Source organism: Homo sapiens, chromosome 13, assembly GCF_000001405.40.
Source record: "Homo sapiens chromosome 13, GRCh38.p14 Primary Assembly".
Lineage (NCBI taxonomy): Eukaryota > Metazoa > Chordata > Mammalia > Primates > Hominidae > Homo > Homo sapiens.
This window is the reverse complement of record NC_000013.11, coordinates 51929545-51942858: the sequence shown is the minus strand read 5'-3', so window position 1 is coordinate 51942858 and position 13314 is coordinate 51929545. Positions and strand designations below refer to the sequence as shown.

General features: G+C 47.9%; 2 protein-coding genes across 43 annotated transcripts in view; both read left to right on the top strand.

Annotated features, from left to right (window-relative positions):
* Nucleotides 1–10190, top strand: part of ATP7B (ATPase copper transporting beta) — a 79464-nt gene extending 69274 nt beyond the window's left edge. For 38 of the 41 annotated variants that reach the window (NM_001406541.1, NM_001406531.1, NM_001406527.1 and 35 more), the window contains 7 exons: nucleotides 305–473; nucleotides 1635–1778; nucleotides 3666–3808; nucleotides 5180–5383; nucleotides 5466–5583; nucleotides 7164–7266; nucleotides 7830–10190. In NM_001406541.1, the coding sequence (NP_001393470.1) occupies nucleotides 305–473; nucleotides 1635–1778; nucleotides 3666–3808; nucleotides 5180–5383; nucleotides 5466–5583; nucleotides 7164–7266; nucleotides 7830–8103 (1155 nt within the window). In that variant the 3' untranslated portion in view covers nucleotides 8104–10190. The remainder of the gene's footprint in view (nucleotides 1–304; nucleotides 474–1634; nucleotides 1779–3665; nucleotides 3809–5179; nucleotides 5384–5465; nucleotides 5584–7163; nucleotides 7267–7829) is intronic. The other 3 variants (NM_001406543.1, NM_001406538.1, NM_001406526.1) reach the window with 2 other exon arrangements.
* The window catches only part of TMEM272 (transmembrane protein 272), a 121020-nt gene continuing 116198 nt past the window's right edge, over nucleotides 8493–13314 (top strand). Inside the window, exon 1 of one of the 2 annotated variants that reach the window (XM_047430278.1) lies at nucleotides 8493–8569. In XM_047430278.1, the coding sequence (XP_047286234.1) occupies nucleotides 8542–8569 (28 nt within the window). In that variant the 5' untranslated portion in view covers nucleotides 8493–8541. Of the gene's footprint in view, nucleotides 8570–10430; nucleotides 10508–13314 lie in introns of those variants that run through there. The other variant, XM_047430280.1, reaches the window with a different exon arrangement.

Sequence of the window (13314 nt, the reverse complement as noted above, 5' to 3'; positions counted from 1 at the left end):
AGTCGGTAACCTGTTCACTGTCATGAGGCACCCACCCAGGGAAGGATTTTAGGCTGTTTAAAATAGTCTCATTCAACTTACAGCTATAATATCTTTACCAAAGGAGGGAGAAATAATTACAAGTTACTAGTCACTATCTTAACCTTTCCTATCTGTTCCACCTCCCTCCCCTCCTTTCTCTCAGTTCCCGCTTTCCGCTGCTCTCTTGCCACCTTCACCCTGTGTCCCTGTCCTGCCTGCCCCTCCCTTTCACTTCACCCCTCTTGGCTTACAGTTTCCTCTTCCTCTCTTTCCACCTTCCCAGGAACTTGGAACAGAGACCTTGGGATACTGCACGGACTTCCAGGCAGTGCCAGGCTGTGGAATTGGGTGCAAAGTCAGCAACGTGGAAGGCATCCTGGCCCACAGTGAGCGCCCTTTGAGTGCACCGGCCAGTCACCTGAATGAGGCTGGCAGCCTTCCCGCAGAAAAAGGTATTGCTGGCTTTTGTCTCTGCAGCTGGTTAAAAGTAGAGGTGGGTCAAACCACAGAGAGCACCACGCCCAGCAGTGATTGCCTCTGCTGTGCGGCAGACGGTTCATGGCTAAGGCACCCAAGCCTGCCTCCCCACACCCAGGAAAGTTTCTCTTATGTTCTTGGGTGCGTCTAAATTTTGTTGCTTATGGCTGCCTTAAATTCATAGAGCATTGTTTAGCTGACCCATGATTTTGATTCTCCTCTTTCTTATCCCATATCGGTCTTGCTTCTCATAAGCTACAGAGTAGACAGACGGGAATTCCACTTTCGTTCTTCCTGTTTCCATTCTGTATGGTAGAATTCTGGTATTTACAAAGCAGGCAGAAAAAGTCAGGGAAAGCAGAGGGAAATGTCTGCCCAAGCCAGGAAGGGACACTGCTTGGAGGGACAGCTGCTTTTGAAGAATGGCCTTTTTTATTCTCAAGGTAGCTTGCCAGCCACCAGAATAAAGGGTGGAAAACACTCAAAATCTGTGACTAGTGTTTTTCCTAAGTGTTGGTAGTGAAATTGTGGCTTAGATTGTGTGGTTAGAAGCCATCCACCACCTTCCAGCCTTTAAAACCCCAGGATGGCCTTTCCATGAGAGCTTCCAGAGCCTGGCCGTTCAGTGACACCTCAGCTAGCAGCACACGCTGTTAGAAAGTGATAGGTGAGAGGTGCATTAGCCTCGGGAGTTACAGTTTTAAACATTTCATGTAGACGTGTCTGATTATTTGTTGATTCACCTGGGGTTGTTGATACCAAGCAGTAATGAATGTAGTCAACACTTGCTTTGTGTGCTGGGCAAATACCTGAGTGCTTCTAATCCCTGCAGAAAAAGAATCAGTGGATACTTCTAAGACAAAGACGGACATTGCCTTATGTTTAATACGTTTATACCATTTCCACCCATGTAGCATGTACTATTAATGCCCCATCTTAATTCATACCCACATGTCCTACACATTAATTTTACTTTTTTTTTTTTTGTCCTAAAGGATGCTGTCACAAGAGGTGCTTACAAGGTTACAGTTTTTCAGAATGGTTAAAAGGATATTTTGCTGTTAAAAGGATTGCATGGTTTTTAGTTCACAGTGAAATTGGACCATTTAGAAATAACCACAGCCTCTTTTGAATAGATGCAGTCCCCCAGACCTTCTCTGTGCTGATTGGAAACCGTGAGTGGCTGAGGCGCAACGGTTTAACCATTTCTAGCGATGTCAGTGACGCTATGACAGACCACGAGATGAAAGGACAGACAGCCATCCTGGTGGCTATTGACGGTATCTTCTGCTTCTGCCTTCCTTCCGCTCTCTCAGAAATACAGTTTTCTGCAGATATCAGGCAAAAGAGTCCTCCTTTATAAAAGAAAAGAAGACAAACAAAAGCCTTCCTCTCTTAATTTCAGGCCTGTTTTCCAGAAGATTGTCTTTTTGTCTTTTCTCTTCATTCTTTCCACTGGCTCCATCTTGGCCCCAGAGCAGCTCTGGTCTGGCCTCAGTCTCCTTGACCTTGGAATTCTAAACTGTCTGTGTCATCATCATTGCTCTTGTCCAGGTGGGCAGTTCAGAGTCATCCTTCTCCTTCATCCCTGCAGACAGAGCAGGAATTCACTTCCCAGCAGGTTTAACTACAGGATGCATTTAAATAATGAGATCCATGCCACCCTTCTCTGTCTGCTTTATTTATTTATTATTACTTTCTTTTTCTTTTTTAGACTGAGTTTCCCTCTTGTCACCCAGGCTGTAGTGCAGTGGAGTGGTGTGACTTGTCTCACTACAAGCTCCACCTTCCGGGTTCAAGCAATTCTCCTGCCTCAGACTCCTGAGTAGCTGGGATTACAGGCCCCCGCCACCACGCCCAGCTACATTTTGTATTTTTAGTAGAGACGGGGTTTCACCAGGCTGGTCTCGAACTCCTGACCTCAGGTGATCTGCTTGCCTTGGCCTCCCAAAGTGCTGGGATTACAGGCGTGAGCCACCGCACCTGCCCTTCTATCTGCTTTATACAGACTGGTGTCGCACAGAGTACAGGTCTCAAGACTGTGTGTTGGCCAGGTGCGGTGGCTCACGCCTGTAATCCCAGCACTTTGGGAGGCTGAGGTGGGTGGATCACCTGAGGTCGGGAGTTCGAGACCAGTCTGACCAACATGGAGAAACCCCGTCTCTACTAAAAATAAAAAAATTAGCGGGGTGTGGTGGCGCATGCCTCTAATCCCAGCTACTTGGGAGGCTGAGGCAGGAGAATTGCTTGAACCCGGGAGTTGGAGGTTGTGGTGAGCCAAGATCACACCACTGCCCTCCAGCCTGGGCAACAAGAGCGTAACTCTGTCTCAAAAAAAAAAAAAAAAAAAAAAAAAAAAAGACTGCATGTGTTTTAGTGCTCAGATTCTATCCTGGGCTTTACATCCCAGAGAGATTAGAGTCTTTACTTTGTTAATGTTAGTTTCTGCTAATAGAAGTAACAGTATATGCAAGCAAGAAATAAAATACATGACACCTTTTGAATGCTCCAGCCAAATATGTCTTTCTCTCACATTCTCTCTCTTTTTTCCCTTTTTCTAAGTCTTTGTAAATCCACCCGCCCCTCGGCTATCAAACCAGAATTGGCACAACTAAAGGAGTCGTGCCCTCTCGTATGTCATCCCTTACTCTGTTCTCATTCACACCTCAGCCCTAAAAGCCCTCCTGCTTCTATAGCTAAGATTCACTCAAAGAGAAATTCTGCCGAAATGTTTTCTGCAGGAAAAGACGAAGGATTGATTTTCTAGTTTGGACATTTATCACTTTAAGTGATATCTGTTATGTCTCTTGAATTTTAGTAGCTAATGTGTATTGAATTCTTATTACAAGCCAGGCACTTCGCAAAGTGTCATACGTGCTCCTTGCAGAAAGTTTGGAAAATTCAGCTATAAAGGAGAAAATGAAATCACTCGTAATCCTATTCCTTGGGGAGCCACTGCGAAGATTTCAATTATATTGCTTCCAGACTTTTGTGTACATCCGTAAATGCATGTACTTTTTAAAAAGCAAAAAAACCACATTGTGTTATATAATTTGATGTTTTGTTTTTTGCACATAATATTATATGATGAGAACATTGCAAGTGTGGTATCTTGGTGCGGGGTGCCCCAACTTGTGTAGCTGCTGATGCTGGCTGGTTCGCTCCAGGTGTGCTCTGTGGGATGATCGCAATCGCAGACGCTGTCAAGCAGGAGGCTGCCCTGGCTGTGCACACGCTGCAGAGCATGGGTGTGGACGTGGTTCTGATCACGGGGGACAACCGGAAGACAGCCAGAGCTATTGCCACCCAGGTACAGCCCTTTAATGTTGCAAACTGTGTAAAGCTCATAAAAGCAGTTAGAGACAAAAGTAAGCACCAGTTGGCCCAGCACTGAGCTGTACTCCTGCTCTTTCTCCCTTGCTGGATGCTTTTCTCTCCACGTGTTTCATTCTGTGGCCATGTAGTGTTGCACGTGAGCACTGTGGTGCTGTGCGAAGATCTCTTCCCTGGAGCTTGGGCGCATGCATCCTGGAAAAAAAGGAGTTCCAGGGTTCTCTAACCGTTTCCCAGTCTTTGCAATGGAAAAAAAAGTATGTGACCTAAGGGCTGAGATAGACATTTTCTAACCTTTATGTTAAGGGAAGATTTTGCCAGCTCAGCTCTTCTCACTGGGGTGCTCAGATAAGTGACTCCTGGGCAGTTCTCCAGCAGCCCCTGATGCTGAGTTTGGTCTGTGAGGACAGCACCACTGGATGGCTGCCTGACTTCTCACACAGCAGCGGCTCCAGTTTGGATTCCTAGAAATTATGCACCTCCAAATGTGTGCAGAGCTCTAGGCTTCTGAAAGCTTAATTGTGTTCCTTGAGGGAAGCAGCAGTACCCCTGTTTTCCATGGTCCTCCTTGCTAATTATGGACCTGTTTAGCGTCCTTCCCCCCTTTTCTGGCTAGCACTTGTTCATCTATTCAGCAGGCACTTACGAAGCACCACGAATGTGACAGGCAGGTGTGGGGCCAGGCTCTGTGAGGAGTGAAGGGGGGTCTGCCCTTGACGGGCTCATGGTCTTGCAGGAAGGTGGACCAGTGACTGTGTAGATCTGAGAAGCGGGAAAGGGACTAGGAAAGGAAAACTGCACCTTCCCAGGACAGAGCAGGCAGCAGGAGCATTTCCCAGGGGCACAGAGTAGCACGGCGGTTTGGAGATGCCGCGGGGAGCTGAATGGTATGGTCAAGTGTGGCACCAGCTGCCAGACCCTGGGACCCTGGGACTCTGGGACCCTCGGAAGCAGACCCAAGAGTTGAGCTGCCCTCCTCTGGGAGATGCATGGGGTCTACTGGATGTGAAGCAGGAGAGTAGGGAGGGACATGGCCGGACGGATGCTTTGGAAAGACCATGGGGGCAGCACATGGAGAAGACAGTTGGAGGACTGAGCCGTGGACAGGGAGACCAGCAAGGGGGTTGTTTGCACATCCAGAAAAGGACAGGGCCTAAACCAGTGCAGGGTGTTGGGGCAGGAGCCAGGGATAAACTGGCCCTGTGACAGCAAACCTGCAGGGTGTGGTTGACCAACATCACTGACTGGACCCAGAGGCCGAGGGCAGAGGGGGCAAGGGTAACTTGAGGTTTCTGCTGCTATCTGATACCTTTTGCCAACACTAGGCATTGCCTTCCTTTTGTCTTAGGTTGGCATCAACAAAGTCTTTGCAGAGGTGCTGCCTTCGCACAAGGTGGCCAAGGTCCAGGAGCTCCAGAATAAAGGGAAGAAAGTCGCCATGGTGGGGGATGGGGTCAATGACTCCCCGGCCTTGGCCCAGGCAGACATGGGTGTGGCCATTGGCACCGGCACGGATGTGGCCATCGAGGCAGCCGACGTCGTCCTTATCAGAGTGAGCGTGGCTGCAGCCAGGCTGTGGGTGCTGGGAGGGCAATGGGCAGACCCCTTCCTCACTGTGTGCTCCTCTCCATCAGAATGATTTGCTGGATGTGGTGGCTAGCATTCACCTTTCCAAGAGGACTGTCCGAAGGATACGCATCAACCTGGTCCTGGCACTGATTTATAACCTGGTTGGGATACCCATTGCAGCAGGTAGGCAGCTCTTACCCACTGTGCTCCAGCTGCGCCCAGAAAGGCTTCTGTCTCCCAGGTTCCTGCTGGGGTTAGTGAGTGGCTCACTCACTGGCTGGCTAGAGGCGTTTTAGAAAGGCTGTTTTTTTTTTTTTTTCATGTCCCCTGCTTTATATGTCTTTAAATGAGAAACTGTGGAGAGGACCTGAAACCTTCATTCACTCTGGTCCTTTCTAAAAAGCTAGTGGAGATGCTTGGCTGTATTTTCTGATCCCTATTTTATTGTGGCCTTATTTTCTGAGCCATTTGTTAAGTCATATAGTCTGAGAAATAATCATTAGTAAGAATTATGGGGCATCTGCTACATGCTAGGCACAATTATTGGTGTTTCAGAACCTTATCCTGAACATTAATCCTGCCCAAGTTTCACTCTGAGTTACACAAATGATCATGGAAAGAAATGGCTCTTTGACCAGGCATGGTGGCTCATGCCTGTAATTCCAGCACTTTGGGAGGCTGAGGCAGGAGGGTCATTTGAGCTCAGGGGTTCAAGACTCACCTGGGCAACATGGTGAGACTCCATCTCTACAAAAAATTTTAAAGTTAGCTGGGCGTGGTAGCGTACACCTTAGTCCCATCTGGGAGTACAGAGGCTGGGGCAGAAGGATTTATTGAGCCCAGGAGTTGGAGGTGGCAGTGACCCATGATCGCACCACTGTACTGTAGCCTGGGCAAGAGTGAAACCCTATCTCAGAAAAAAAGAAAAAGAAAAGAAATAGATTTTTCTGCTTTGTAATTCCCCCTCATTCCCCCTCCTTAAGAACCATCTCTCCCCCGCCCCCTGCTCCCTGCCCCCTGCCCCCAGGAACATGGCAATGAAAAGTTCCAGAGTGCTCCTCCATGGGCTGAGGAGAGATCAAGTTTGTAATCACAGCATTCCTGCCTCAGTCTCCCTTGTGTCTGAGTGGTTAGTGGTGACTTGTGTAACAGGGCCTTGGCTTCCTGAGCCCAGTGAGTCAGGCAGGTTTACTTCTTGTCCCCAGAGCCGGCTCAGGAGCTTAATTCCCCCAGTGTATGTGCCTCTGCCACACAAAGTTGACCATACCTGTCTCCTGACCCTGTCCTGGGACCTGGCTCTCATTCCTCTTCTAAAGATGTCATGAAGCCCTGGAGGCGAGATCATCTGCTAGAGAAGGACTGTGGCCCTCAGCCGTGTTTGTCCTCTGTGGGACTGTGGCTACAGGATGGGCAACTGGCTCCCTCAGCTCCTGCCGCTTTTCTCCTCCCGCTCCTCCCACTCCTTGTGGTTTGTCGCTGCCCTGGAGCTCGCCCTGAAATGGGATGCCACCTGTGGGTGGTTCTGGGAACATCAGGGCGAGTGGAAGAGAGCCAGGCCCACTCAACAGCATCCCACACCCAGCTTTCTAGGAAGCCTCACTTTGGGGGGGGCCTGTGGGCAAGATCCATTGGCAGGGGCTTCTGAGCACGCCAGGTGGAGACCTCACTGGGGGCCGCTGAGGGTGGGGCAGCCCGGTGCCTGAAGCCCTCTCCTGGCTCCTCTCCCCAGACCTAGGTGTGAGTGCGAGTTCTTTCTTCCCCAGGTGTCTTCATGCCCATCGGCATTGTGCTGCAGCCCTGGATGGGCTCAGCGGCCATGGCAGCCTCCTCTGTGTCTGTGGTGCTCTCATCCCTGCAGCTCAAGTGGTGAGTCCCCTCAGGTGGAGCATCTGTGGGAGGCTCCCAGGAGGCCTTGTCATTCTGCATGCTTAGCACAGTGGAACTTGCCTCTCATTTCCCATTCATTCACCTGGGACAAATGCTGCAGTGGCAGCCCACATGGAGCCTGGTGTGCATGCATGTAACTTATCAGCACCATGAGCAGGCAATTCACTGCTGCCCATTCACGTGCTGGGCTGCCCTTACTCTGCTCCTCAAGGGCTGTTTATGTGAACATCAAGCAGACATGGGTCCCTGTGTATGATCTATCACTTTTTTATTTAAAAAAGATGTTCACTTATTTATGAGTGCATTCATTTAACAAAAGTTAGTGGCAGCCTACAATGTGCAAGGCATTTGCTTAGGAAGTTTCTAAATCAGGTGAGCTTTCCTGGAACCATAGGGAGTTTAATGTCCTTTTCCTTGGAAACTCTTGAGGTTTTGATACTGAATGTTATTAAAAGATGGATGAGAGGCCTTCACCAGGCTTAGAAAAAAAAAAAGCCTTGTTTCTAGAATGGCTCAGATGCTGTTGCGTTCCTGCTTTCCAGCTATAAGAAGCCTGACCTGGAGAGGTATGAGGCACAGGCGCATGGCCACATGAAGCCCCTGACGGCATCCCAGGTCAGTGTGCACATAGGCATGGATGACAGGTGGCGGGACTCCCCCAGGGCCACACCATGGGACCAGGTCAGCTATGTCAGCCAGGTGTCGCTGTCCTCCCTGACGTCCGACAAGCCATCTCGGCACAGCGCTGCAGCAGACGATGATGGGGACAAGTGGTCTCTGCTCCTGAATGGCAGGGATGAGGAGCAGTACATCTGATGACTTCAGGCAGGCGGGCCGGGGCAGGGACTTGCCTCCACTCACCACAAGCTGAGCAGGACAGCCAGCAGCAGGATGGGCTGAGCTAGCCTCCAGCTTTGGGGACTTCCGCTCCCTGGATATGTCCAGTCATCCTGCCCTGCAGCACGCGGCCTTGTCTGGGTGCAGCTGGGCTTGGCCTGGAGAGGACGGCCCTGCCTGCCTCTTGGCCTCACGGGACCGTCAGCATGGGCTTTGTCTTGGACTCTAGTCCTTGGCTGGACTGTAGAAGGTGAGAGGCGAGTCACCCTCCTCACAGACCTCTGCTTGGAGTATTTAGGATGACTGCTGTGAAATGGAGAACAGTTTCATCAGGACCAAAAAACCTCACTGGGCCTTTCCAGAGAACTGCAGACCTCACTGTCAGGGTCTTTCTGATGACGCCTGTCTGTGTGCATCATGTTTCTGAGACCACAGTTTACCTCAGGTGTGCCTGTTGCTTTCTTCCTGCATAGTCTGTTCCTTTCTTCGTACATAGTCTGTTCCTTTTCTCTCCTGTGTGCTTGTCAGTGGGGACCCCTCGCAACCCTGCCTGTCACCTGGGAGGGTGGGACCAATGTCCTTGTGGTCTTTGCTGCTGCTCTCAGGCGCTTCTCCAATGCTCTGGAGTGTGCATTTCAGCTTGAACCTGCTTCCTGGCTCACACATCCCCAGCCAGGGAGCTTGCCACACTCTTCTTCAAGTTGAGGAGAGTTCTTTTTTGCTTAAAGCCCCCTTCTCCATGGAGTGTTGGCTTCTCAATAGAGTGTTGTTGCTGACCAGCTGGAGTGAGGGCCTCAGAGCCTGACCTGAGAGTCCGTACTCGGCTTCCTGTGGGGTGTAGGTTCTCGCGATTCAGGACGTCCTTCCATATCCCTGCCCAGCCTGTGGTGCTTGAAACGTTTGCCCCATGGGAAACGTATGTGTGCAGGAGCCTCCCTGCACGGCCCAAGGGGCTTCGTTTTCAGTCTTCTGACTGTCACCTCGTGGGGTTCAGTAGAGAATTCATGTGACTAGCGCCTGGCCTTGTGTGGCTTGGAGGAAATGGTACTGCCCAAATAGGAGGAAAACACAGCCTCCCTGAGCCTGCATTCTGCACGCTGCCCAGGGGCTTCAGAAAAGGAGTGGCCACAGCACCCCGAAGGGAGCATCTGTTTACCTGGCAGTGGCTCTCAGAGCAGCAGAACGGGTTCAGTTTTAGACTCTGAAGTTGGTTGTGATTGACAGAACCCTTTGGGAGCAAACTAGTAGAGTTGGATTAAATTCTGGGTGAAACCCTTTTCTCCCACACAAAATAGTTTTAGTGATTTTTTTCATTGTCCATTACTTGCCAGGGGCAGTTTTAGCAGCACTTTTGATAGATTACGTCTAATCCTCCCAACCAACCAGCAGGGTAGCTATTACTGTCCACATTTTACAGGCAAGGAAACAGGCTCCAAGAGGCTGAGGACTTTGCCCAGGATGACATAGCCAATGGACAAGCAGTGTCTGTCAGCTGTGAAGGCTTCACTCTTATTGTCCTTCTACCTTGAATAGAAGTTTTCCTGATAAGAATAAACGAGGAAAAGGTCCTTGCCTCCTGGAAGAACAAATCTACCAGGTGATCTATTCATTGTTTCAACTCAGAATGCACTTGATTCAGGAGGTCATCTGACCTTCACCTTGGATGGTTAGTTTCACTTTTTACATATAGTTTTTGCAGGGTTTTATTTTATAAAATCCAAGCGCGCTGTTGATTGTGTTTTCCTTGTTTTCAGCCCCCCCACTCCAGCCCGCAGCACATTTCCGCTGTCCGTCAGTAATTGTGTCCTCTCTTTATGCTTGCTTGGGGAATGTTGTTTTCTGACTAGGCTGATCATTATCTAAAGAATCTAATTCTGTTGATTTTTAAAACTTTTAGGACCATAAACGTTGTGTTCATATATGGACATGGAAATATTTATATAATTTTATAGAAAATAACCTTTTAGATGGTCAAAGTGTAAGGAGTTTTTTTGTCAGATAATCATTTCTACTTCAAAAACATTTCATGCAATATTAGAATAAAGTTCCTGTCATTCCTCTAAAAATCTGCCTGTGAGTGAGATGCGTGGTCAGAGGCCAGTGCCGTCTTGTCTTCACGAGGGCTTCTGTGAGGCACTGGCTTGGCTTCATGTCTTTTTAGGGGGCAGAGGAGGATAGGATTTTAACAGTAGGGGGAATGAGGGTGGGCAGAGCCCCCTTGATCTGCCATCCCCAGCACTGGTGTGAGTCCCTTTCTCTAATGCAGGCCTGCCTCAGCGGCGTGTGGGGAGAACGCTGAAAGGCAGCTCCTGTCAAAGTCCCTGCCCCGCTGGATCGGACACAGGCTTAAATTACCGCATCGTTTGCACCCCTCTGTTCTAGGGTGAGTGTCTGCAAAAGGCTGTTCTCAAACACATCTCAATCAGGAGGGATATGTTTTGGGTTCCTTGGCCTTGAGGGAGTGAGTCAGGAGGAGGAGCAGAAAAATCTTGACTAGTAGGCTCTGCTGGGAAAGCTCTGTGGGCATCTTGGGGTGGCCGGGGGGTGTAAGTGAGCCACACCTGAAGGGAGTTGACAGTGTAATCTTCACCCACACCAGGACACTTCAAAGAGTGGAAGGAGGCACTATGAATAGTTATGCCAGGACAACTGGCCTAAACCGGGACTATCCAGGCAAACTGGGACATATACTCACCTTCCTTCAAAGGGAAATAGACATTGTGACATCTCCATTGACACAGACTACGTACTTTAGAACCTTGCCTGATCATAGGTTCCAGAGACATGCTGGTGGCATAGTCCGTTATCATATTTCAAGGTTCTCCCCCATATCCACGTCTTGGTACCTACACATCTCTGTAGAATCATTGAGGTGATTATCTCATGGCTCATTGTGACTGCATAGCTAGATGGCCAGCCCCGCCCTCCAGCATACCCTGGAGGACTTCATGCCATGCGTGCTTGACTGTTTTTCCGGATGCCTGGGTACAGAAATTTCATGTTGTGTGCATGTCCCATTGTGAAAAGTGAGGGTGATACCACCTTAGGAAGGGATCCCATTTCTTTAGAAGATAGATTCTTTCTTTTTCTTTTTTTTGTTATACTTTAAGTTCTAGGTACATGTGCAGAGCATGCAGGTTTGTTACGTAGGTACACATGTGCCATTGTGGTTTGCTGCACCCGTCAACCTATCATCTACATTAGGTATTTCTCGTAATGCTTTCCCTCCCCTAATCCCCCACCCCTCAGCAGGCCCCAGTGTGTGATGTTCCCCTCCCTGCGTCCATGTGTTCTCATTGTTCATCTCCCACTTACGAGTGAGAATATGTGGTGTTTGGTTTTCTGTTCTTGTGTTAGTTTGCTGAGAATGATGGTTTCTAGCTTCATCCATGTCCCTGCAAAGGACATCAACTCATCCTTTTTTTTTTTTTTTTTGAGACGAACTCATCCTTTTTTATGGCTACATAGCATTCCATGGTGTACATGTGCCACATTTTCTTCAGTCTATCATTGATGGGCATTTGCGTTGGTTCCAAGCCTTTACTATTGTGAACAGTGCTGCAATAAACATAGTGTCCATGTGTCTTTATAGTAGAATGATTTATAATCCTTTGGATACTTTCTAAAACTTGATCACATTTTCCTGATATATTCCTCAGGCAGAATAAATCACAGCATTCCAAATAACTTTTAGTCTTTTAAGACCTTAGTGAAGAATTGTGATGGGATTACCTTTTTAATAAACAAATGCAGTAATTCTCATTTTTTTTCAAAAATGACATCTGGAAATTGACATGTTAGAAAATAGATTCTCAAATTATTCTGCTAGATTACCAAGGAATCAAGATTAATAAATAAAACCTTTTTTATTAAAGATTAAAAATAAAAACTTATTTTTTATAAATCCAGCATAGACCAAAATCAGCCAATCAAATAGTTTAATTAGAAAGAGATTATTTGAATTGCAGGGGTTTTTTTTTTTTGCTCTAAAAAATTATGACAGTGTTTTAGTAGGTAAATTTCCTAATGTGTATACAATTGAGTTAGACAATTTTTATTTGCATACATTTTTCTTAATTGCATCTTTGTTTTAAAAAAAAAACAAGGAACGTATGTGCAAAGAAATGCTTTAAGCAGCCACTTAGGCTGACTGTCAGTTTCCCTTTGCAGATTACCTTGATGTGTGAGGAAGCTGATTTGGTATTGGAAAGTATTGTGGAGCTAGGAGGAATCAAACTGCTCTATTTTCTTCATTTTCAAACTCACCTTGGGCAGGCACGTAAACACCATTGTCCAGGCTTTCATTCCAGAGGGAGATGTCTACTTTGCTGTTTTTCTTTGTGTGAAGACAATGACAGTGGTTGAAATTACAGGATAGAATATGAGAATGCTAAGTAATACTGTGAAATCCCAGAATCTACTTTATTCAGGAAGATGAATAAACAGAGATGTAAAACCATCTAAGGGCTAAGATGAAAAGAATTAATGGAAATTTAACATTTTTGCCCTTTGAAATGGAGACGGCTATTAACTGTTCTCAATTTAAACATAATAACTGCTTATAGCAAAAAATTAAGCATATAGAAATATAGAAAGTGGGGGGGGGGAAGGCAAATACTCCCTCCCCAGCCCCAAAAGGAAAGCCAGTGAACATGACTTCATGGAGGGATGTCCTTTGTGGATGAACCACATCGGGACATGGAGGGAGCAAAGCCTTCCTGCTCCTTGTTGACCGACACCTGACCAAGTGTCAGCCATCTGAGACAGAGGTGCTGCAGTGGCCTCAGAGAGGCCTGTTGAGAGCAGATCCAGGTCCTGGTCAGGTCAGGGGACAGACAATGCTCAAATACCTCCAGGCTGCTGAGTGCTGGGTGCCTGGGCAGGTTCTGTCACTCATCTTGCCTGTCTGGCCCTCCTCACAGTGGCACTAAGAGCTATTTGCATAACTGTCCCATTTCCACAGACGGGATGAAGCCTTAGGTTGTTCAGTTGACTGTCCGGGACACAGAAGGGGCGTTCAAACCCATTTGGCACTGGCACTAAAGCCTGTAATCTATTATGCTCCATCTGGAAAGCTCCCTCTTCCTCCCAAAGGTGAATGCTGGTGCTTTCCTTAGGAGTTGAATCTGTACTTCCTCAGCATCCCTTGGTCCCCTTATGTGGACAAGAAAGGTGTCCTTTGGCAGGACA